The 23,622-nt window shown below is 48.6% G+C and overlaps 1 protein-coding gene across 5 annotated transcripts in view, besides 8 other annotated features; it reads left to right on the top strand.

Annotated features, from left to right (window-relative positions):
- UPB1 (beta-ureidopropionase 1) overlaps nucleotides 1-23,622 on the top strand; it is a 33,059-nt gene that overhangs the window by 4,113 nt on the left and 5,324 nt on the right. The window contains exons 2-11 of one of the 5 annotated variants that reach the window (XM_011530223.3): nucleotides 663-834; nucleotides 2,682-2,769; nucleotides 4,075-4,150; nucleotides 4,380-4,384; nucleotides 11,305-11,399; nucleotides 13,880-14,041; nucleotides 15,757-15,926; nucleotides 20,943-21,024; nucleotides 22,281-22,391; nucleotides 22,542-22,584. In XM_011530223.3, the coding sequence (XP_011528525.1) occupies nucleotides 663-834; nucleotides 2,682-2,769; nucleotides 4,075-4,150; nucleotides 4,380-4,384; nucleotides 11,305-11,399; nucleotides 13,880-14,041; nucleotides 15,757-15,926; nucleotides 20,943-21,024; nucleotides 22,281-22,373 (943 nt within the window). In that variant the 3' untranslated portion in view covers nucleotides 22,374-22,391; nucleotides 22,542-22,584. Of the gene's footprint in view, nucleotides 1-662; nucleotides 835-2,681; nucleotides 2,770-4,074; nucleotides 4,151-4,379; nucleotides 4,385-11,304; nucleotides 11,400-13,879; nucleotides 14,042-15,756; nucleotides 15,927-20,942; nucleotides 21,025-22,280; nucleotides 22,392-22,541; nucleotides 22,585-23,622 lie in introns of those variants that run through there. The other 4 variants (XR_001755249.2, XM_047441404.1, XM_047441405.1 and 1 more) reach the window with 4 other exon arrangements.
- Nucleotides 3,943-4,212: an enhancer, noted in NCBI's record as "active region_18774". NCBI's record gives its function as "activates an Ori minimal core promoter by ATAC-STARR-seq in GM12878 lymphoblastoid cells {active_cell/tissue: GM12878}" and the evidence as "EXISTENCE:reporter gene assay evidence [ECO:0000049][PMID:35858748]".
- Nucleotides 6,082-6,620: an enhancer, noted in NCBI's record as "H3K4me1 hESC enhancer chr22:24901494-24902032 (GRCh37/hg19 assembly coordinates)". NCBI's record gives its function as "activates a minimal SCP1, AML or CMV promoter by ChIP-STARR-seq in primed H9 embryonic stem cells {active_cell/tissue: H9 hESC(primed)}" and the evidence as "EXISTENCE:reporter gene assay evidence [ECO:0000049][PMID:30033119]".
- Nucleotides 6,621-7,157: an enhancer, noted in NCBI's record as "H3K4me1 hESC enhancer chr22:24902033-24902569 (GRCh37/hg19 assembly coordinates)". NCBI's record gives its function as "activates a minimal SCP1, AML or CMV promoter by ChIP-STARR-seq in primed H9 embryonic stem cells {active_cell/tissue: H9 hESC(primed)}" and the evidence as "EXISTENCE:reporter gene assay evidence [ECO:0000049][PMID:30033119]".
- Nucleotides 7,372-7,461: an enhancer, noted in NCBI's record as "active region_18775". NCBI's record gives its function as "activates an Ori minimal core promoter by ATAC-STARR-seq in GM12878 lymphoblastoid cells {active_cell/tissue: GM12878}" and the evidence as "EXISTENCE:reporter gene assay evidence [ECO:0000049][PMID:35858748]".
- Nucleotides 7,882-7,931: an enhancer, noted in NCBI's record as "active region_18776". NCBI's record gives its function as "activates an Ori minimal core promoter by ATAC-STARR-seq in GM12878 lymphoblastoid cells {active_cell/tissue: GM12878}" and the evidence as "EXISTENCE:reporter gene assay evidence [ECO:0000049][PMID:35858748]".
- Nucleotides 10,002-10,275: a silencer, noted in NCBI's record as "fragment chr22:24905414-24905687 (GRCh37/hg19 assembly coordinates)". NCBI's record gives its function as "represses an EF-1alpha promoter that drives an FKBP-Casp9 reporter gene in an ReSE screen in phorbol 12-myristate 13-acetate-treated (for megakaryocytic differentiation) K562 erythroleukemia cells {active_cell/tissue: K562(+PMA)}" and the evidence as "EXISTENCE:reporter gene assay evidence [ECO:0000049][PMID:32094911]".
- Nucleotides 15,249-15,298: an enhancer, noted in NCBI's record as "active region_18777". NCBI's record gives its function as "activates an Ori minimal core promoter by ATAC-STARR-seq in GM12878 lymphoblastoid cells {active_cell/tissue: GM12878}" and the evidence as "EXISTENCE:reporter gene assay evidence [ECO:0000049][PMID:35858748]".
- Nucleotides 22,435-22,494: a silencer, noted in NCBI's record as "silent region_13553". NCBI's record gives its function as "represses an Ori minimal core promoter by ATAC-STARR-seq in GM12878 lymphoblastoid cells {active_cell/tissue: GM12878}" and the evidence as "EXISTENCE:reporter gene assay evidence [ECO:0000049][PMID:35858748]".

Below are 23,622 nucleotides of genomic sequence, written 5' to 3' on the forward strand. Positions count from 1 at the left end.
TTTTATAACTAATTCTCTAGCCTTGGTTAATAAACTACAAATGTGGATGAGCACTTAGGGCTTCCATCTGAACACCTGGGCCCCTCCAAGCCCACCCAACACCAGATGTAGAACTGGCCTCCCCCAGCAGGAGCAGCAGGACAGAGTGGCCAGGGTCTTTATTCACCATAAGGCCATCCATGTGATCCCAGGTCATGGCCTCTCCATCCAACCTGTCTCCTGAGCCCCATTTTCCAAGCCCCTCGGCTCCCACAGCCTGCCTCACACCCTAGGCTCAGCATAGCCCTGATTCTGGTTCAGAAACACTTTTGAGAATCTGTTCCCTCCTTTCTGTGCTGACTGCCAGGACTTTAATTCCTACCGTGATTTCAGCAACTCTAAAACACCAACCTCTTAACTGGCCTCCCCATTGCCAGGCCTAACCGTGCTGACTCTGCTGAGGTCTCCCTGCCAATTGCAGGTAAAGTCCAGGTTCAGTGTAGTGTTCTGTCATGGCTGGACCCCACTGCTCGCCAGCTCCCTTGGGCCCTGGCACTGAGCGCCTTCTAGCCAGGACATCCTCACCTCTTTGGCTGATAAATAGCTACAAGAAATGGGAGAGAGATTTTAAGTGGAGCAGACTGCATCAAAATCCCCTTCCCTCTTTTTTCCTGCCCATCTAGGAAGCTTGATCTGCCCAGGGAAGCTTTCGAAGCTGCCTCCAGAGAAGACTTTGAACTGCAGGGATATGCCTTTGAAGCAGCGGAGGAGCAGCTGAGACGACCCCGCATTGTGCACGTGGGGCTGGTTCAGAACAGAATCCCCCTCCCCGCAAATGCCCCTGTGGCAGAACAGGTGCAGACTCTTTTGACCATAATAAATACACAAACAGGGTTGTGGCCTGCCCTTGGAGCACACCTGCAGGCCCTGGCTGGCCGCATACTCCGGGTCTGCAGGCTTGGGCGCCTCAAGCAGTAGCAGAGGCGCTTCTGCCCTGGCCTCCCCACATCCCTCCAGCCTGCATCTCTGGCTCTTCTGTCTTCCTGTTCTTATTCTGTCTCTCCCTCCTCCTCACTGATCTTTCCACTTCTCTCCAGCTATTGATCTGAAGCTCCATTTACCAACCGGGAGGGTGCCCTTTTGGCCTGCTCGTGCTCTCCACGGGACGCTGCCTCTCAGCTGCCTGCCAGGAGGCGGCCAGCCAGCACACGCTGGTTGGGACCGTCTGTCCGTGTGTTCTTCTGCCTTAATCCTCAGGGCGGGGACTCGCTATACCCAGAAGTCTGTCAGTTGTGGTGCCTACAGGATTACGGGAATAGATAGGCATTCGCTTATGACCTCAGAGTTAGTAAATAAAGGTGACAGCATCTTGTATCTCCCTAAAGAAACATGTTGTCACAGGCGCAGGTGGTTTGCTTTATACACTTCTCCACAGCATTCCTCCAGCTGCTCAAACTTTCAGGGATTTTCCTGCACAGGTTTCCTCAGGATACGGCGTGTTTGAGGATTCTTAGGGATTCTGGAGAAACCTAAGGCCTCTTGGATTCCAGGTTTGGTTCTGCATCATCATTCACATTGGTCCTTCCTTTGCTTTTGTTGGATTCACAGATGTCTGGTTCTCAGTTCTCTCACTTTTTGTATCAGGATTTGTTTTTTGTGGATATGTCCCCTCTATCATCCCAGACTGTCAAGTCATAGGACCAGCTATGTTTTTTTCACGTGCACAGGGCCTAGAAGTATGCTTTGCGTTTTGCTAACACCAAGCAAATGTGTGTTTGCGGGGCTGATGCTGTCAGCAAATATCCACAAAGCCATGGGGTGCACAGCCTCTCAAAGGAGGAGACTATAGGCCTTGTGGAGAGTTTGTGCGCTCTGGGTTTTCAGCCTGGTTCCTTTGGTCTGTCTTTGAACAAACGCTTTTGAATGTCTCCTGGGAGCCAGGCATTGTGCCAAGGACAAGCAGACAATGAGGATGCTTTCTTCCTATCCCCAAGGAGCCTGTGGGGTCCTGGGAGTGACAGACAGCAGAGGAAGAGTGGCACACAAAGCAGTGGCACACAATGGCTCCCGAAGGCCAGGGGATGCTGAGTTACCTTGACACTTGGCCCATAGCTGTGAGAGCCTGCAGAGGCCCACAGAGGGGTGACATGTGACATAGATAACACCTCCAGGAAGATTAGGTGGGAGGAGGGAAGTACATTCCTGGCCCAGGGCACAGCACACACCAAAGCACGGGGATTTAAAAGAGCCAGAGAGGCGAGGCATTCCATGATAAGATGCACACAGGATAAGTAGGATAAGTGTGGAACCAGGCTTGCCTCTGAAGGCAGGAGAGTGGGGAGCGGAGTCCCGGGCCAAGGGGGTGGCTGACCTGGGAGATGGGTGTGAACGTGGGCCCTGGACCGGAAGCAGCACCATCCTCATCCCTGCCTCTCAGCAACCCCACAGGTCAGGTGGCAGCCTCCCCATTACCAGGTGAGGAAACTGAGGCAGTGTCCAAGTGTCTGACCCCAGAGCCTCTGCACCTCCAGCTTTTCATGCAGATTTTGGACATCAGGAGATAACCAAATATAGAACCTCCCCACCCTACTCCTCATACCTGCCCAGGTGGGCATTGATTTTTCCATATGCATTAGGATGAGATCCTAAAAATTGCCTTACCAATAGAACTAAATGGATTCTAATCCTTTTTAAATTCTCAGGTCTCTGCCCTTCATAGACGCATAAAGGCTATCGTAGAGGTGGCTGCAATGTGTGGAGTCAACATCATCTGTTTCCAGGAAGCATGGAGTGAGTCTTTTTTATGGTGCTTTCTCTGCTGCCTTCAAACAATTGTGTATTCTCTCCATGTTGCCAAGAGTGTCTGCTGCCTGACTTTTAAAGAATCTCCTTTGTTTCCTCATCCATGGAAAGTTCTCCGTCCACATCACCAGGAACCCCGGCCTCCCTGCTGTTACGCACCGAGCTGTTGTCTGATTCCTTCAGTTTTCCCACATCGTTCTGAATCCATTCGCTCCTCTCCATCTCTCTACCACCACCTGGTCCAAGCCCCTGGCAGCTCACCTCTGGCTTTTGTAATTCCCTCCAGCTGGTCTCCTGTGCCCTCCTGACCAGGACTTCTTTACCTTCAGATCTCAGCCCAGAGCCAGCCCCCCCATCTAAACATCCTGGTAGTATGTACCTTTGTGGTTTTTATTTTTATCAGAGTTTTACATGCTCATGGTTTAGAGTCAGATGGGTGTACAAGGTCTGTTACCAAAAAATAGCTATTATCCCCAGCATCAACACTGAGCTAGTTCCTTTGGAATTTACCTTTGTTAGTGTTGCTACTTCCTAATTTTTTAGTTTTGCATCACCTATTGACTTCCCCCTATGGAAGATGTCAGTGTTAGCCCTTTCTTGCCTCCTCCTGGCCCTTCGACATACATGTGTCCTTGTTCTATCCCCCCAGCCCATTTTGTCAACTTTGATTCCTTTTCTTTTTTTTTAAGACAAGGACTTACTCTGTCACCCAGGCTTAGAGTACAATCACAGCTCACTGCAGCCTTGATCCCAGGCCCAAGCAATCCTCCCACCTCAGCCTCCCAAGTAGCTGGGACCACAGGTGCACACCATCACGCCCAGCTAATTGAAAAAAAAAAGTTTGTAGAGATGGAGATCTCACTATATTGCTAGGCTGAACTTTGATTTCTTTTCCTGAATTATTTTCTGTTTTCCCTAGAGTTTGCTTTGTTTTCTACTTGCCACGCATTCAACCCCAAACTTTCTATCAATTCCTAAATCTCCCTTAATGTGTTTTAGACGCATCAAACAGTCTATCAGTTTCATCTCCTCCAAGGAATCTGCCCCAGAGCCTTGTGACTGCTGTGGTCTGAATCAGGTGCCCCCTCTGCTGGCCACACAGTTATTGTCCTGGGATCCCCCCTCATCATCACCCTGGGGAATCCCTTTGCCTTGCTCTTGTGTTTCTCTGTTCCCACAGCTTCCTCTTTCTTGGTTTATACCCTTATTTTAGTGGAGTGGTGTAGTGGATCCTTATAGATTTATGTTGCCTCGGCATCCATGTTGAATACAAGTTTAACTCTCTCATACCAGCGGCAGGGCTCGGTCACGCTGGACACAGTTTCCAGATCTACACCACACCGAGATGGCTCAAGCCAAGTGGCCAGAGGTAAGAACTTAAGAGGCCTCTCTCCCACCAGCAGACTGGGCTGCCCACTTTCCTGCTGCTTCCTTTAAATGGACCATCCAGGCATTTGGCCATTAACTTAAGGTGACCACATCTTAGTCATTATGTGTACTGCTAGTTGCCCCATACTCTCTCTGACTCTTCATTTCTCCCTCATCTGACCTGGGGACAGAGGACTGCCCTCCTGACTCATGGCACTCTCCTTGCCCAGGATCTGTAAGTAAAAAAATCTTTAAACTTGTTTCCTATTGCGATTGTGTGTTGAATTTGCACCTTCCATGAGAAGAACCAGGGGCTGCCCCAGGCTGGGTTTTCCTTGGGATACCGGTGGAAACACAAAGTTGGGCTCCTAGGGCCAGAGTGGTAGTCAGGCAGGGACAGGTCAGGCAAGAGCTGCCACACAGCATGTGCCAGTATAAACAAGTTTCACGTATGAGGGACCCCCTGGTCACGGGTTGGACAGACAGGCATTAGGCTGTCCACCATGTACAAGATGTATCCTGTGAAAGGCACACTGTAGAGACCACATCCAGCTCCCTTCATTTCCTGTTAGTGCTGGGTTGCCAACCGCTCTGGTACTGGAGCCCCCATTTAGCTAGGGACTCTCAGAACAAGTAGTTCCCTGAGGAAGAACACATCAGAGGTAAACTTTTTGAGGCCTTGCCCATCTGAAAATATGTTCCTTCTACAATTTTCTTGATAGTTTGGTTGAGCATCAAATTTTAGGTTAGAAATCATTTTCCTTCAGAAGTTTGAACACATTGTTCCATTGTCTTCTAGTTTTTTGGGCATTGTTGAGTAGTCCACAGCCATTTTAATTTGTGACCCATTGTCTATGACTTGTTTTTCTCTGGAAGACTGTAGGAGTTTCTCTTTTTCACCAGTACTCTACAATTTCATAATGATATTCCATTGTGTATATCTATTTTAATCCACTCTAGGCACTCAGTGGGTTCTTTTAGTCTAGAAACTTGGGTTCTGAAGCTCTAGGAAATGTTCTTGCATTATTTCATTCATTATTTTCCCCTCTTTTTTTCTCTTTCTAGACAGTCCTACTATTAGGATGTTGGAACCCTGGACTAGTTCCCTAATTTTGTTATGTATTTCCTCCTTTTTTTTTTTTTTTTTTTTTTGATACGTGGTCTTACTCTGTCACTGAGGCTGTAGTGCAGTGGCACAATCACAGCTCACTGCAGCCTTGACCTCCCAGGATCAAGCAATCCTCCCGCCCCAGCCTCCTGAGTAGCTGGGACCATAGATGCATACCACCACACCTGGCTAATTTTCTTGAATTTTTTTTTTTTTTTTTTTTTGTAAAGATGAGATCTGTGTTGCCCAGGCAGGTCTCAAATTCCTGGGCCCAAGCAATTCTCCCACCTTGGACTCCCAAAATGCTGCAACTATAGGCGTGAGCCACAGGGCCCAGTCACCACTTTGTCTTTTTGCTCAATTTTCTGGTGGATTTGATCTGATTTGTCAGTCAGCCCTCCTATTCAACCTTTCATTTCTGCTGTCAAATTTTGAATTTACTAGTGTTCTTTTGGTCTGAAAGTCCCTGTTGTATTACATCCTGTTCTTGCATCATGGTTGCGATATCTTCTCTTACCTCTAAGGATACTAATATTAAGTAAATTTTGTTTTCTCTCTTATTCCAAGAGTCCTTATTCCAAGTTGGACGCTTTGTTTGATTGCTCATATTTTAAGAATTGGGGATTAAAAATCTGTGAGCTCTGAGTTTGTAGTAGGGGCTCACCCACTGAGCTCCATTATAGGGTGATCTGATTTAGTGGTAATTCCCAGGTAATCCCAGTGTTAGTATCTCTGGGTCATTCTTTTCAGGCTGGTCAGAGTCCCCAGAGATTTTTCTGCCCTTGTGCCAAGAAGGGAAGGAGAACAAAGGTTCAGCATGCTGATGTTTACTCAATCCCTCTGTTTTGACACTTCACTTGCTTTCATCTGCCCTGCTCCAAAGCCAGAGAGCCTCTGCTGAACCATCTCTGGAGGATGAGCCTCTGGCCTTCTTCTGGGGTAGATGGGGCAGGTCCCAGCCTCTTGGTGTGGAGAAAGGACCTGGATTTCTAACTGCTTCTTTTTTTATTTTTATTTTTATTTTTTTTTGAGGTGGAGTCTTGGTCTGTCACCCAGGCTGGAGGGCAGTGGCGCGATCTCAGCTCACTGCAACCTCTGCCTCCTGGATTCAAGCGATTTTTCTGCCTCAGCCTCCTGAGTAGCTGGGACTACAGGCCCGTGCCACCATGCCTGCCTGATTTCTGTATTTTTAGTAGAGATGGGGTTTTGCCATGTTGGCCAGGCTGGTCTCGAACTCCTGACCTCAGGTGATCCACCCACCTCAGCCTCCCAAAGTTCTGGGATTACAGGCGTGAGCCACCGTGCCTGGCCCTAACTGCATTTTTTTTTTTTTTTTTCAGACGGAATCTTGTTCTGTCACCCAGGCTGGCATGCAGTGGCGCATTCTCAGCTCACTGCAACCTCTGCCTCCTGGGTTCAAAAAATTCTCCTGCCTCAGCCTCCTGAGTAGCTGGAATTACAGGCCTGTACCACCACACCCAGCTAATTTTTGTATTTTTAGTAGAGACCAGGCTTCACCATGTTGGCCAGGCTGGTCTCGAATTCCTGACCTCAGGTGATCCGCCCACCTCGGCCTCCCAAAGTGCTGGGATTACAGGCATGAGCCACTGCGCCCGGCCCCTAACTGCTTCTTAAATAGACCTTTGACCAGTCCTTGTTTATCATACTTCCCTGCTTCCCCACCTTCAGAGGTACCTGGTGCCCCTGGGTCCTGAGCTTTGGATAAGCAGGAGATCTTCTCTACTGCTAGCGGGACTCAGTTTTCTCTGATCTGCTGAGAGATTTGCCTGCATCTTTCCGCCTTCCAGCTTCCCGTGTTTCCGTGCCTCAGTGCACCATCCTTGTTGGGTATATGCCTTTGCATGAACATTGCTTTCCTGTCATGTTAATGGGGTTTCAGGAAAGAACACGTGTCTGTGTCCCAGAAGTTCATGTCGTTTTCCTATTTTTGTTACCTTTGTACTCTCACTCTTCATTAGACTATGAGCTCCATGAGGATAGTATCTGTGTTTGTTTTTCCCAACTCTCCACCCACCCCTGTTTCATCTTTAGTGGCAAGAATAATCCCTAGTGCATGACAGGCACTACAAATTAGTATTGGCTGGATAGTTGAACTAACATCTCCCCTTTCTTGGATCTGGAACTCCCCCTCATTTATCAAAGTCTAGCACAGGTACCCCTCCTTTGTGGGGCCCTGGGGACTCCCCCAGGACTCCCCCTGACCACTCTGTATTGCCAGGTTGTGTGGCCGCACCAGGTTCTAATTCATCTCCTTCCCTCTAGGCTGGCAGTTCCTGAGGGCCAGGTGTTAGGTCAGTGCATGTGGAACCTCGTCCCCTCTAGTTGAAGAACTGTAGTTGGGACTTTGCAGCCAGCCTCACCCAACCTCACTTCCACATCCTTCTTTTGAAAGTGTGTTTACATTAGAGTGGTTGTGTAAACAGGAAAAGAAGCTGCTTATTCTCTGGGGGCACTTGACTCACTCCTAATGCTCTGAAAGCTGAGAATTAATGGTCATTAAGGAGCATTTGTGTTTTCAACAGCTTTTCTGTTGGCTTCCTTAAAATAATTCATCTCTCTTCACAGAAGGCGAGCCTGGGGAGCCTTGAGCCTGCTACCAAGGCCCCCAGGACTGTTGCTGGCAGTGCCTGCCGCCTGCTTGGCAAGATGGTGGTGGTGCCATTGGCGGGATATTTACTGTGGTACTCTCTTAGGACCAGGCTTCCTGGGACCGGAAGGAATTGAGAGGCTGAGGCTTCTCTTCCTTCTCTGTGAAATAAAGGGGGTGACACCAGCTTAGGGATGTTGGAGACGATCTGCCTATTACGAAGATAGGAGTTATAAAGAAATACTTTTTAGGCAACTAGAAAGGAGTAAAAGGAATAAAGGAGTAAAGGTTCTCAGTGGAAATTTTCCTGTAATAAGAAGCAACTCCTGAACCATTTCTTTTCTAACCGAAAAGGCGGCTTAAAGAGCCAGGCCAGCAAGCTTTGATATGCAAATGTCGGCAATTAGAAACTAGGTCCACCCAACATGGCAATTCCTGCCCTCTTCTCCTTGTCACCACCTGTGCCAAGTGTCATGACCGCCTCCAGATAACTCATACATGTTCAGGACATCATGGCAGCTCACGTTTGCATATTAAAGGGCTAAGGTGGGAGGGCTAGATTTTTTGCGGGCTACTTGAATGTCACACCTGGTCAAACCAATCCCCTGGGCCCTATGCAAATCAGACCCCACCTCCTCCAGCCCCCCAATATAACCAACCACTTTTCCGCTGCACACCGGATTTCTCTTGGTTCAGACTCCCCTGGCCCCCTCCGCCGTATGGGGGAGCTGTTTTCTTCTTTCTACCAGGCACCATGCTTCACATATGCCTGGCATTTAGGAGATACTGTCTACAATTGTTAATTCTAAAGGGGTCTTAAGGCCCTCGCAGAGGCCAGTTAAACACTGCCCCATCACATCACACAGCTTCCTGCACACCCCCCTCAAGTTAGTTCAAAGTAGCTGGAACAATAGCAGACAACTGGAAACTTCTGTTAGGCTAATCCCTCTAAAAGTAATGGACTTGGGGCCAGATGTGGTGGCTCACGCCTGTAATCCCAGCACTTTCTGAGCCTGAGGTGGGCGAATCACCTGAGGTCAGGAGTTCGAAACCAGCCTGGCCAACATGGTGAAACCCTGTCTCTACTAAATATACAAAAATTAGCTGGATGTGGTGGCGGGCACCTGTAATCCCAGCTACTTGGGAGGCTGAGGCAGGAGAATCGCTTGAACCCAGGAGGTGGAGGTTGCAATGAGCCAAGATCGTGCCACTGCACTCCAGCCTGGGCAACGAGAGCGAGACTCCGTCTCAAAAAAGAAAAAAAAAGAAAGAAAGAAATGGACTTGGGCTGGGTGTGGTAGCTCATGTCTGTAATCCCAGCACTTTGGGAGGCCGAGGCAGCTGGATCACCTGAGGTCAGGAGTTTGAGACCAGCCTGGCCAACATGATGAAAACCCATCTCTACTAAAAATACAAAAAAAATTAGATGGGCATGGTGGTGGGCTCCTGTAATTTCAGCTACTTGGGAGGCTGAGGCAGAAGAATCGCTTGAACCCAGGAGGTGGAGGTTTCAGTGAGCCAAGATCGTGCCATTGCACTCCAGCCTGGGCAACAAGAACAAGACTCCATCTCAAAAGAAAAGAAAAAAAGAAAGAAATGCACTTGGGTTATTGTGAGGTGGGAGATCTACAAAGTATACTGAATTAGTCCAGACAAGGATTGAGTTCTCCACATTGAGAAAGAAAAAGACGAATAGCACAGTAGGAAATAGGCAAAGGGTATGAACAAAAAAATGTAGGGGAGGAATCCAGACTGGCCAGTGAATGTGTGGTGAGGGGTTCAGCCTCACCGGGGATATGGGAAACATTTACTCACAGTGAGGCACCGTTCACACCAGCAGACTGGCAGGTACTAAAGGTAACTCCATGCACTGCAGATATTCACGTGTGGCTGGGCTGTAGAGCAGCATTAGGCACATAGCCAAAGGTCCCAAGGGCCCACCCCAGCGGAGTCCCCTCCATCCCCTGCATAGGAGACTGCTCTGAACTTGGTGTGCATGGAGATGACCAGTATCTTTGAACTGTTAATCTGTGTGTATGTACCTACTGTTTGAAAAAAAAAAAAAAAAAAAAAAAAAAAAAAAAAAAGCAAAAACCAATGAGTCGAATGAAATTTCCTACTGAATTAGCTCCTAGGTGGGGCCTGGCCAGAGATCATGAGAATAAGAGCATTAATCCTTGCAGATGTTCATCCTGTCCAGTGGTTCCCAAACTTTTTGTGGGATCATTAATGAGTAGCTTTTCTTATTTCTGAAGAAGCCTCCTTGTCACTAGGAGGAGGGGGGGTCCCAGTGCCATCCCCAGCAGCCTTCTGATACTTTCCCCAAGGAGTCAATGGAGCTCCTGCCACCCTGCAGATTGGCCAACAGCATGAGATCTGCTGGTTGGGAACTTTGGCAATTTAAAACTTTTTGTGTGTGTGGCATATAGATATACATTAACAATATTTACCATTTTAACGTGTACAGTCTGTGGCATTAAATACATTCATGTTGTGCAACCATCATCACCATGATCTCCAGAACTTTTCTCATCATTCACAATTGGACACCTCTACCCATTAAACAGTAACTTCCCATTATCCCCTCTTCTGGCCTCTGACAGCTATTCTACTTTCTGTCATTAAGAATTTGACTACTCTAGGCTGGGCGTGGTGACTCACACCTGTAATCCCAGCACTTTGGGAGGCTGAGGTGGGCGGATCACCTGAGGTCGGGAGTTCAAGACCAGCCTGACCAACATGGAGAAACCCCATCTCTACTAAAAATACAAAATTAGCCAGGCATGGTGGCGCATACCTGTAATCCCATCTACTCGGGAAGGCTGAGGCAGGAGAATTGCTTGAACCTGGGAGGGGGAGGTTGAGGTGAGCCAAGATAGTGCCATTGTACTCTGGCCTGGGCAACAAGAGCAAAACTCCATCTCAAAAAAAAAAAAAAAAATTTGACTACTCTAAATACCTCCTATGAGTAGACGCCTACAGTATTTGTTTTGTGTCTTAGCATATTCTTAAAGGTTCATCCATGTAAGCATGCATCAGAATTTCTTCCCTTTTTAAAAGAGAGTTGACTGATATTCCATTGTGTATATATATATACCACATTTTACCTATCAGTTCATCTGTTGATAAGACACTTGGGTTGTTTCCATCTTTTGGCTATTGTGAATAATGTTCCTGTAAACATGAGTGTGCAAATATCTGTTCAAGTCCCTGCTGCAATTGTTTTTAAGACTTTGGGAAAGACATTTGGCCCAGCCCCTTGTTTTGCCATGAAGCCCAGAGGTAAGGGCTGCCCACAGCCAGGAACAGGACCCAGAAGCCAGGCCATGGCACTCCTGAGACTGTATTCTTTTGCAGTGACTTCCCGCTGCTGGGCTGAGGAGCCCCCCTCAGAGGCTGTGCATGTTGGATATAATTCTGCCCTTTCTCCTATTTATAGCTATGCCCTTTGCCTTCTGTACGAGAGAGAAGCTTCCTTGGACAGAATTTGCTGAGTCAGCAGAGGATGGGCCCACCACCAGATTCTGTCAGAAGGTAGGACATTAACGGTGCCTCTGGCAGCAGCTGCCAAATATGTGCAAGTCACAGAGCATGACCACAGCTGCCGGGTTTGGCCTTTCACCATGGAAAATGCACCCATTTGGTGCTTGTTTTGCCAGATAAGATTAGATAAGACTATCTGCCACTTTTTTTTTTAGCGTACTCTTAGAATTGGGGCGTGTAAGGCTCCAGAAGGGCCATTAGCTTTTTCAGGCAAGGGAGCTGCAGCCCAGGGAGGGTGGTCGGAGGTGACTTTTGTAGCAAGTCCCACAGCTGGCAAGTGGCAGAGCTGGCATTCAGGGACCAGAGAAGCCAGTTTCTCATCCAGAGCTCTGCATGCTCCACTGCAGTTTGCTTGAGTCACAGAAGCTTCGATGCATGGCCTGTGTCTCATCAGCATAGAAATTGGTTTTGATTTTTCTTCATTAAAACCTTATAATACATATTGTATGATCCCATTTATATAAACTGTCCAGAATAGGCAAATCCATAGAGACAGAAAGTAGATAAGTGGTGGCTAAGGGCTGGGGGTGAGGGAGGAAGGGAGTGACTGCTAATGGATACAAAGTTTCCGTTTAGGGTGATGAAAATGTTCTAAAATTAGATAGTGGTGAAGGTTGCACAACTCTGTGAATATCCTGAATACTACTGAATTGCACACTTCAAAAGAGTGACTCCTTGTTCTGCTGTTTCCCACCTCTCGCTACTGTACTTGACCAATCTTAAAGTGAATCTTATGCTCTGTGAATTATATATATATATATATATATTTTTTTTTTTTTGAGATGGAGTCTCACTCTGTTGCCCAGGTTGGAGTGCAGTGGCACGATCTCGGTTCACTGCAAGCTCTGCCTCCTGGGTTCACGCCATTCTCCTGCCTCAGCCTCCGGAGTAGCTGGGACTACAGGCGCCCGCCACCATGCCTGGCTAATTTTTTTTTGTATTTTTAGTAGAGACGGGGTTTCACCGTGTTAGCCAGGATGGTCTTGATCTCCTGACCTCGTGATCCGCCACCTCGGCCTCCCAAAGTGCTGGGATTATAGGCGTGAGCCACCGCACCTGGCCTGAATTATATCTTAATAAAACTGTTATCAGAAAACCCATGAGGTGACGAATGGTCATTTATCCTTATTTTCACCTCTAACACAATAACTCTTTTCATTTCTTTGTATTCTCTTTCAGGTTTTATACATATACTTAGGGGCTTTTGGGGCAGAGCTATAATCATGGTGACTTTATCAATACTCAGTTGTGATTCCAAACATCGATGTTCTCAGGCTGTAGGGGAAAAAAAAAAATCTCTCATTCACCAGGTTGTTGATTTCTTGCTATGGAAAAAAGAGGAAGGAGACTGGTTAGGGGACTTTTGCAGATGATAAGTCTGAGCCAGGGCTGGAGGAAGAGTGTGAAAGAGAGCTGGTGCCAGAGACACTCCGCCTCCACAGGGACCTGAGGCTGCCCTTAGCATGGCTCCTAGTGTTGCCTTCTGAGCATGCCTCTCCCCTATCCTGTTGTTAAGGCCAGAGATCATGACAGCTAATTAGAGTAGAGGACAAATGACCCGCTGGGCTGCTCATCCTGTGGTCACCAGGGACTGATGTTCTTACTTGAGACAAAAGGAATTTGATGCCAAAGAAATTTATTTTTGGCATAGATAAGTCGTTTGATTATTATTTTTATTCTTTTTTCAAGTGGTAAAATATACATATAAAATGTACTATTTTAACCACTTTTAAGTGCACAGTTCAGTAGTGTAAAGTATATTCACACTGTGCGGATCTCCAGAATTTTTGCATCTTGCAAATCTGACTCTGTCCCATTAAACAATAGCTCCCCATTCCCCCAGCCCCTGGCAACCACCGTTCTATTAATATTATAGTTTCCATTTCTGTGAGTTTGACTACTCTAGATACCTTACACAAGTGGAATCATACAGTATTTGTCTTTTTGGGACTGGCTTATTTCATTTAGCATAGTATCATCAAGGTTCATCCATGTGTAGCGTAGAACCGTGGCATCTAAGGCTGAATGATACTCCATTGTATGGATGTGCCATGTTTCATTTATCCATTCACCCATTGATGGGCACTTGGTTGGCTCCCACCTCTTTGCTATTGTGAATAATGCTGCAATGAATATGCGTTTGCAAATCTCTTCTGCTTTCAATACTTTTGGATATATACCCAGGATTAGGATTGCCAGATCAAATGGTAATTCTTGTTTAATTTTTTGAGGAACTCCCATATGGTTTTCCAGAGCAGCTGCACCATTTTACTCTACCACCAACTGTGTACAGGACAATGTGATTCTTATTTAGCAAAGCATGGACATCAGGGTATTTAGTGTTCCAAACAACAAATGCAAGTGGTTGCTCTGACCCAAGCCTATTGATTTAGTAGGATCATTCTTCTTTGATAAAAAACTACAACAATTGGTTTATAAGTGGGACTCTGCCATATTTATCATTTTTCCAGCTGGCGAAGAACCATGACATGGTGGTGGTGTCTCCCATCCTGGAACGAGACAGCGAGCATGGGGATGTTTTGTGGAATACAGCCGTGGTGATCTCCAATTCCGGAGCAGTCCTGGGAAAGACCAGGAAAAACCACATCCCCAGAGTGGGTGATTTCAACGAGGTGAGCCACCCATAAGATAGATAACCAGCCCTGCTCACTTGCCCCTCTGTATGTTGTAGATCTCTGTGGGACTTTCTGTGGGGAAGTTCTGTGCAGGATCATACTCCATGTCACGTACACTCCACGGGAGCACAGTGTGGCTGCAGTGCTCAGAGGGTTACCTGACATTGCCCTATATCACACAGGCAGACAGGATTCAGGCGGGACTCTCAGAGGAGTCCCAAACACCTTTAGCACAATGGGGCATATATTTTTTTAATACAACCTGATTTGGCCTCCTGAATTCTTTGAAGTAAGTGGTATATAAATTAAAACCAAAACTAAATATTGCACAAACATGAAATGATTCCTGTGGCCCCTTTCAGGCTCAGAGCCTAGCACGCCACAGCCCTGTCCTTGTTTGGAGCATGGCATTCCTTGTCTGTGGATCATGGGGGGGTCTGAGGTGGCCCATGTTTGTGTGTCAGGTGGCAGTAGGCAAACATGCATGTCTGTATACTGTGCATTATGTGAAGTTTCATGTGCCCATGATCAGGGCATAAGTTGGGGGGGCCATTTTGGTTGGTTAATGCCAACCCCTGGGTGGGTAAGATGGGAGCGGTGGATGTTTGAAGGAGGGAAATGACCTCTGCCTAATGCCTAAGATGTTAAATCTGAACTTGATTTGCCATTAATGCAGTTGTTCAGGATGTGATGTCCCCAGTTCTCTCTCCATGAATGTGGGGGTCCTGGCCGTTCTCAGGCTGGTCAGGCAGATAAGAAATGGCCTGCAGAGCTAGAGGAGGTTTCCCAGGGAGAAAGAAGAACCCAGCGTTTCTCAGTAACAGCTGGAGGTGGGGGTGGGAAGACGCGCCCCTCACCTGTTTACCCTGGGATTAATCTTTAGCTCCCTGCAGATAGCACAGGGCTTGTCTCAGCACAGCAGGATCTGCTCCGGTGTTCACCACGTGCACACATCCTGGTTGCTGCCTGACCCTGGCCAATTTTGATGGCCAGGATCAGGAGGAGGTGGAAGGCTCCTGGAGCAGATCTGTTTGGGACCCTGATTTGCCCTCTAGCTTCCCTCAGTGCTGTCCAGGACAGTGTCCCTGCCCTGGCACCCTTAGGAGCAGACAGAGAAGCAGGGATGGGAGGATGGGGTCTGGTCCGCCTGCCCCACAGGGACCTCCTTAACCCTAGGCAGGATGGAGAAGGTGCGCTTTCAGGGTGTGGGTTCCACTAGAAGCTTTGGCCTTAATCATTTGGGCGAGCTATGCCCCCTCAGGAAGCAGCTTTCTCCTCTGACCAGGGAGAGAGTTGCTTGGATGTGCTCCAGGTCTCCGGGCTCCACCGTTCTATATAATGACATGTGATTGCTGAGGGCATTGACCAACTCGTGTTAATGCCAACCAAACCCGAGCCTTGAGTTGGACCATAATTGAAACCTCACCAGAGTTTGAAATAGTGTGGAACGTCATTGTGGGGATTTTTGTGACATGTCAGAAAGGAGACTGGGCAAATGCTTAAGCCACTGTGATTTCCCCCGGGGGCTGGCTTATTTGGTGTCAGGGTTTTTTTGTGTGTGTTTTGTTTTTATCATATTGAAATTCTGGAACTTAGAGTCACACTCAGGAGTGTAACCACCTCTGGACTATTGGTGATATTTCAGTTTTTCTGCTGAGTCTAAGGAAATCTTGAAGGTCAGAGGCATCAGTATATGGCCCTTTGCTTTTCAGTCAACTTACTACATGGAGGGAAACCTGGGCCACCCCGTGTTCCAGACGCAGTTCGGAAGGATCGCGGTGAACATTTGCTACGGGCGGCACCACCCCCTCAACTGGCTTATGTACAGCATCAACGGGGCTGAGATCATCTTCAACCCCTCGGCCACGATAGGAGCACTCAGGTCACTCAGTTGGTGGGGTCTGGGGGGCTTCCTGGGGCCCAGCCAGCTAAAGCCCAAGGCTGGGCTGTGGAGCTCCAAGGTGGCAGCAGGCAGGCGCAGCCACCAGGATGTTAACAGAGCTGAGCCCCCAGGATTGCATGTTGTACATGTGACCAGCTTTTCAGTGAAAAGAATCCTCAAGATGGCAATGAGCAATCCCCCACCCGCAGCAAGAGCTGCTCTACAGTAAAACACCAACCTCTGCTGTGATTCTGAACACTGAGATGAAAATAATTCCCCCCTTTCCCTGTAGTCAGCAGGGGGCTTCAAAAAGCCCCACATTGGGCTGAGCTCGGTGGCTCACACCTGTAATCCCAGCACTTTGGGAGGCCGAAGCAGGTGGATCACTTGAGGTCAGGAGTTTGAGACCAGCCTAGCCAACGTGGTGAAACCCTGTCTCTACTAAAAATACAAAAATCAGCCAGGCGTGGTGGTGTGTGCCTGTAGTCCCAGCTACTCGGGAGGCTGAGGCAGGAGAATCACTTGAACTTGGGAGGCGGAGGTTGCAGTGAGCCAAGATGGCACCACTGCACTCCAGCCTGGTGATAGAGCGAGACTCCATCTCAAAAAATAAAACAAAACAAAACGAAAAAACAAAAAAGAACCCCCACATCTAAGTCCTTGGAGCATAGTAGGTGCCTAGCCAGCATTGGCTCTTGGATGGGGAACTGTGGATTCCTAGTCCTCACATCTGCAGCATCCTGCACAGGCAGGACAGACATCTGGACAAGAGAAGCTGCAAATGAGGGAGTTGGAGATCAGTCGAGGAAACTTGTCTTTAACCAGAGAAGGGTTTTATTTTTATAACACATAACAAGTGTTTCGGTGTTAGCCTCACCCCTAAACAGATAGAACTGCCCTTGTCAAGGCAGGGCTGGGGGATGAGGGGAGGGTGGCCCCGGAAGCCCGAGAACTGGGCAGTACCCCACCCCTGGGGCCCCTCATTTAGGAGGGGCATCCAGCGAGCTGATCTGACTGCATGACTCTGCTGCTGCTGCCTCTCTCTTCCACAAAGGCTGAGCATTTGGGTGGTTTCCAGTTTTGCATCACTACAAGTAACAGAACTCTAGGAATTTATGTGCAAATACTTTTCTCCCCAACTCACTTCTTTCCAAGCAGGATTCCTGCAGCAGGAGGTGCTGGCTTTCACTTTCTGTGGTCTTGGCTGCCAGTGTCCCCAGCAGGACAGGGGTGTGCCCTGTCCTGCCATGGGTGGGGAGCAGGGGGAGTTCTGGTGGGTGTGCAGCTTTAGTCTCTGTCAGCCTGCACTTGTCTCTCTTGTCCTCATTCTTGACTAAATTTCAGTTGAATTTCTTCTTTTTTTTTTTTCTTTGAGACGGAGTCTTGCTCTGTCACCCAGGCTGGAGCGCAGTGGCGCAATCTTGGCTCACTGCAAGCTCCGCCTCCTGGGTTCACGCCATTCTCCTGCCTCAGCCTCCCAAGTAGCTGGGACTGCAGGCGCCCGCCACCATACCTGGCTAATTTTTTGTATTTTTCGTAGAGATGGGGTTTCACCGTCTTAGCCAGGATGGTCTCGATCTCCTGACCTTGTGATCCACCCACCTTGGCCTCCCAAAGTGCTGGGATTACAAGCGTGAGCCACTGCCCCCGGCCAAATTTCAGTTGAATTTCTTCTAAACGTCAGGGTGTGACATTTACCTTTTCTTTTCATACAGTGCCCCTTTCTCAAGAGTAATATCCCCTCCCCATTCAACATTTATTTACATAGCAGGTTCCTTCTGGAGCCAGAATGCAACCCCTCCTCTGTTACCTCAGGTCTACCACCCTGCCCATGTACCTGGAGGTCTGGTCCATGTCCAGGAGGGGTACTGTTGGGTAGAAGGGGAATATCAGGCCTCCATCTCCCCTCAGAGAACATACTGGAGTCTCATGGTGGTCAGATCACCAGTGATAGCATTCATTGGTGGTTGTCAGTAGGGTTTTTACTGGTCATCCAGCTACCAGGCCTGGGCAGAACTTTGGGGCCACCCCCTAAAGCAGCCCCCTCTGCTGGCTCTGGGTAAGACACTTGGCAAGCTCCATCTTCCCACTGGGGTCCCTAGAGGAACCCGAAGCACTAGGGCATCTGGCTTCTGGGCCAGGGCAGACAAAGTTGTGGCTGTGGACTCAGATGGCTCCTCGCCTTGTGTGTGCAGAGGCCCTCCCTGACCCTCCTATCTCAGGCTTTTATTGGCTCCAGTTAGGCAAACAGAAGCACCCCAGTGTAATATGCATATAATTGCTATGTCCTCAGCAGCCTATTAGGCTTATTAAAAATGATTGATTTTTCTTTCCTCAGCCAAGAATCATCCAACCCTTGGCTTTCCAGGGTGTGGTGAGGCTGGCAGTAAAAACTAACAGGTCTTTTGGAAAGCAGTATGTTTCATGAGCTCCTAAAATGCTCATGCCCTTTGGCCTGATAATGATGCTCCTAGAACTGTAGCCTGAAGAAACAATCTAAAAGAGGAGGGAAGGCCAGGCACAGTAGCTCACATTTGTAATCCCAGCCCTTTGGGAGGCCAAGGCTGGCGGATCACTTGAGGTCAGGAGTTTGAGACCATCCTGGCCAACATGGTGAAACCTCATCTCTACTAAAAATACAAAAATTAGCCGGGCATGGTGGCAGGCACCTGTAGTCCCAGCTACTTGGGAGGCTGAGGCAGGAGAATCGCTTGAACCTAGCAGGTGGAGGTTGCAGTGAGCTGATATTGCACCACTGCGCTCCAGCCTGGGTGACAGAACAAGACAGAAAAAAAAAACAGGGAAAGGCAATGCATGTGAAGGTGCTCACAACAGCTTACTTACAATAAGGGAAAAGCTGACAGCGGGGGAAGTGTCTGAGCTAAGCACATTACAGCCCACCTCTTCCACAGGTTATTGTACAGCCACTATAAAGAGTCATGATGAAGGTAATGCAAAGTGATGAAAGCCTGTGAGCAAGAAAAAGACGTGTTCAGGCTGTGGTCAGAACTCTTGGAAAAAAAAGGAAAAAAAAGTTTGCCTATGGATGAGGATAGTCATGGAGTGTGGATAAAAGGCAACAGGTGGTTTATTAAGATGGTAGGATCCTGGCTTGTTTTCTTAAAATGATGAATGATGGAATTGATAGTGTTTTTCAGCATAATGCTGGGCAAATCCCCACCAGCATTGGATCACAGCATCCAGAACCATCCATCCCCTTTTCTGGCACCTTCTGCCGCCTGTATTAGAGACAGACATACACATGTGCATGCACACACATGGGTCAGCAGGGTGTCCTCATTCATTTTTGAGTCCCACAGTTCTAAGTACATAGTAGTGTCTGAATGCTTTTGATTAGGTTATCCTCATAATCCAAGGATGTGTCCCTTACAGCTTGGGTGACCAAAGATTTCTACCACCTGTGTACATTCATTGGCAAGTCACCATCCTATCCTCTTGCTGCATCTTGCCTTTCCACTGCGATTATTTTTAGGGGTGTGTGTGCACCGCGCTGGGAATATGGCAAACGTCCCCACTCCCCATCAGACGTCATGATTCCTGCACACACTGGGCTCTCACTAACCCCAGCTTCCTTTCCCCTGGTGGTTTTGAGAGCATAAATTTTATTTCCAGCTGTGGGTTTGGGTCCTATGCAGAACACCTCCCTGGAGAATTGCAACTAAGATGTTTATGGCAATCGCCCTGCAAGTGTCTATTTAATTCCTGAAAATGTCATTTACTGGTGTGTTTCTGTAAAAATCATTTCTGAAAAGTTTTGTCAGCTTGGCTTAGCAGCTGGGGGAAAAAAGCAGCAAAATGAGTCCCCTCAATCAAGCCTGTGATTTTTTATTTTTTCAGACTCATGAATCCTCCTGAGAATTAGGCTTATGACAAGCACCCACCCCCTCCACCTACTCCCTGGTTTAAACCAGGTGCCTGCTGACACGAAGGAAGATTCCGGGGCATTTTGATCCTAGTCACACAGTGTTTCTAAGTGGGCATTACTCCTGTCAATCCACAGTCTTAAAGATGTTCCTCAGACAAAAGATAATTAGTGACAAGAAGGCCCACTAGATTCCATGTCATATCTTAGTTGGCGGGCCAGAGAAGGACAGGGTCTCTGGTTGGGGCCGTGTCTCCCATCGCATTCTCCCTTTGCAGGTGCTGAAGTGAGGAAGGCCCACAGCTCAGCCAAGCACATGGGGTGCCTCCCTCCTGGGCCACTAGCCCACTGGCCAGTAAGAGAACCAGGGAGCCTTTACTTAGAGACTCAAGGTTCAGAAGAGGGAAATGGGAAGTCACTGGGAAATGGCCCAGCTTGGAGGAGGTGACCCTGCTGCCGAATCTGACCCCTTATCCTATTACCTAAGTTCCTTTCTTGTTTACTGGCCCTGAAATCACCCGCTTTGGAGATTGCCTTGCAAGGCAGCATAGCAGAGTAGGAGAGTTAGGGTAGGGCAGGTACAGCCTGTGCTCAGCCCTCACAGGCCCTGCACAAGCCCACCAGGCCCCCGGCTCCCTTCTGGCATTCACCAGGAGAGGTTCTGCCCAGCCCAGCAGGTGGGTTCCAGGAGAAGGGATGGAGGTGGGAAGTGGTGGTTATGGAACTCCTACCACTTGGATCTTCACCTGCATGGTCATTCAGTCTTCATAGTCTTCTTTTGAGGACATTTCAGAAAAGGAAACTGAGGCTCAGGATGAGGATTTGATCCAGGGCTGCTAATTCTTCTGACAGAGCACAGCCACGTGGCTTATGCCTGCAGCAGGCCCTTCCCAAAGGCTGTTCAGGCCAGGGCAAGGTGCTGAGGACAGGCTGGCCTGGTTGCAGGTTTGGGGTGTGACCGGTGAGTCTCCTGGTTGTCCCCACCACTGGCCCAGGAAAGCCTGCAGCCAGGCCAGGCTCTGTCCCCACCACTGGCCCAGGAAAGCCTGCAGCCAGGCCAGGCTCAGGGCTGAGCATCCACTGAGTCTGCCTGGAAAGTCGGCAACCTGGTTCCTCTTGGTCCTCTCTTACAGCGAGTCCCTGTGGCCCATCGAGGCCAGAAACGCAGCCATTGCCAATCACTGCTTCACCTGCGCCATCAATCGAGTGGGCACCGTAAGTCCCGAGGTCTGGCTGGGGAGAGGAGCCACCACCTGGTGGCTCTGGTGGGGACACCCCGTTCCCTCTGCACACATGCCACAAATCCTAGGGTCCGGAAAGGGGTAAAACTGGCTTGGTCCGTTACTTTTCAAGATATCTCTGTCCTCCTGTTTTTTCTGTTTTTGTATTTGGCTGAAGCCCTTTTGAAAAGATCTTTGACATGGCAGTTCTCACCCTATCACCTCCAAGTATCCAGTTTATTTTCCCCATTGACCCCATACACTTAACAGTTTTGACTGCCAAACAGAATGCACTTATTATATCTCTTCCTCATCCTTATTAATCAGATAGCAAACTCTAATCAGAAGATCTTTTCAGTCTGAGATAACCAAGGTTTCTACACTAAGTCTATCTGACTTCTAGCAGCATAAAGAAACCTGATGTTTTGGCTGGGTTTGGTGGCTCATGCTTGTAATCCTAACACTTTGGGAATCCGAGGCTGGCAGATCACCTGAGGTCAGAAGTTTGAAACCAGCCTGGCCAGTGTGGCAAAACCCTGTCTCTACTAAAAATATAAAAATTAGCAGGGCAGGCTGGCACGTGCCTGTGATTCCAGCTACTCAGGAGGCTGGGGCACGAGAATAGCTTGAACAAGGAGGCAGAGGTTGCAGTAAGCCAGGATCGCGCCACTGCACTCCAGCTTGGGTGACAGAGTGAGACTCTGTCAAAAAAAAAAAAAAAAAAAAGGCCAGGTGCGGACGCTCATGCCTGTAATCCCAGCACTTTGGGAGACCGAGTCGGGTAGATCACCTGAAGTCAGGAGTTCCAGACCAGCCTGGCCAACATGGAGAAATCCTGTCTCTACTGAAAATACAAAAAATTAGCCGGGCGCGGTGGTAGGCGCCTGTAATCCCAGCTACTAGGGAGGCTGAGGCAGGAGAATTGCTTGAACCCGGGAGGTGGAAGAGCCGCGGTCGCATCATTGCACTCCAGCCTGGGCAACAAAAATGAAACTCCGTCTCCAAAATAAATAAATAATTAAATAAATAAATAGAAAAGAAACCTGATGTTTTAGTTAGCCTATGTAACCCCATCACAGGTTGATGTACAGTTTCCATTAGGTTCTGGAGGAAATACTGAAAGCAGTGTGTGTACCTGCCCACTGCCTTCACACACCCCGGCCTGGGGTTTTAATTACTTCAAGCAGGCCAGCCTCAGGTGCCCACAGCCCTGAGAACCAGTCTGTGCCCAGTTTCTTTCTCTTCTCTCAGATTATGAACTCCCCAAAGGCACCATCCAGGTTTTTACCCCGCTTGTCAAATTCCCCTCTGGCCCAGGGCTGGCTGCTCAGCAGGAGTGTTTAATAAGCACTTAATTGCCCGGTGAGTACAGACCATTCCAGCTCACCTTAACTGTTTCCTGGCTGACTCGCCTCTCGGCCTGATTGCCCTGCTCATCTGGCTGAGTGAGCTGGAATGAGTGTAGTGGTAGTGCCACCTATAGGTTCCTCTTACCTTGGTCTTATTTCACAGGAGCACTTCCCGAACGAGTTTACCTCGGGAGATGGAAAGAAAGGTATGTCCCATGAACCATGGTGGCTGCAGTTGAGGAGTGGGCCTTCCTCTCCCCTTCTCTGTCTGCTTCCTCCAGTCAGGATCTGCCACACAGATCACATCTGCATGCCTGGCACCTAGGAGGAGGCGCCAATTCCTCTCTGCTTTATTGCCTGCAGTGTGGGAATCGGGCTGTGGCTGGGGTGTGGATAGGCAGTCCTGAGCTTGAGGAGTGGGTTGGACTCCATCCATTCCCCGGGACTGGTGTGAAGATGAACCAAGAGGATGTGGGGGATCCTCTGTGAGCTCTCTGAAAGGGAGAGGTGCTCTCATCCAGCCCATAGATCTCCCTTTCCACTTTCCTTTGTCCTTGTCCCCCCTCCCCTTGCCCAAACCAGCTGTACTGATGCCACAGGGCATTGGCATGGATGGCCCTGGGTTTCTAGAGTCCATGGCTTGTTTTGATCCAAGGGCATATACCACCTCACCTCTGCTAAGAACCCTAAAGACTCCTTTCCCATGTCTCTGGCCAAGAATGAGGGAGGTAGGGACTGCCCCCCTCACCAAGGAGGTATCTGAACCTTGGTGAGGTAGCTTGGACACTTGGAGGTAGCTCAGAGTGTCCTCTAGAAAGCCAGGAGGAGGCCAGGCATGGTGTCTCATGCCTGTAATCCCAGTACTTTGGGAGGCTGAGGCGGGCGGATCACCTGAGGTTGGGAGTTTGAGGCCAGCCTGACCAACATGGAGAAACCCAGTCTCTACTAAAAAAAAAAAAAAAATACAAAAAATTAGCCGGGCATGGTGGCCCATACCTATAATCCCAGCTACTCAGGAGGCTGAGGCAGGAGAATTGCTTGAACCCAGGAGGTGGAGGTTGTGGTGAGCTGACATCGCACCATTGCACTCCAGCCTGGGCAACAGGAGGGAAATGCCACCTAAAAAAAAAAAAAAAAAAAAAAAATGCCAGAAGGGGCTGAGCGAGTCTGTTTTCCAGGAAAACACTTCCTGAAAGGGTCCCAGATGCCGCCATTTCAGGTCCCCCGACTTCTAGAGTCCCTGA

This window comes from Homo sapiens, chromosome 22 (assembly GCF_000001405.40).
Source record: "Homo sapiens chromosome 22, GRCh38.p14 Primary Assembly".
In the NCBI taxonomy this organism is placed as follows: domain Eukaryota; kingdom Metazoa; phylum Chordata; class Mammalia; order Primates; family Hominidae; genus Homo; species Homo sapiens.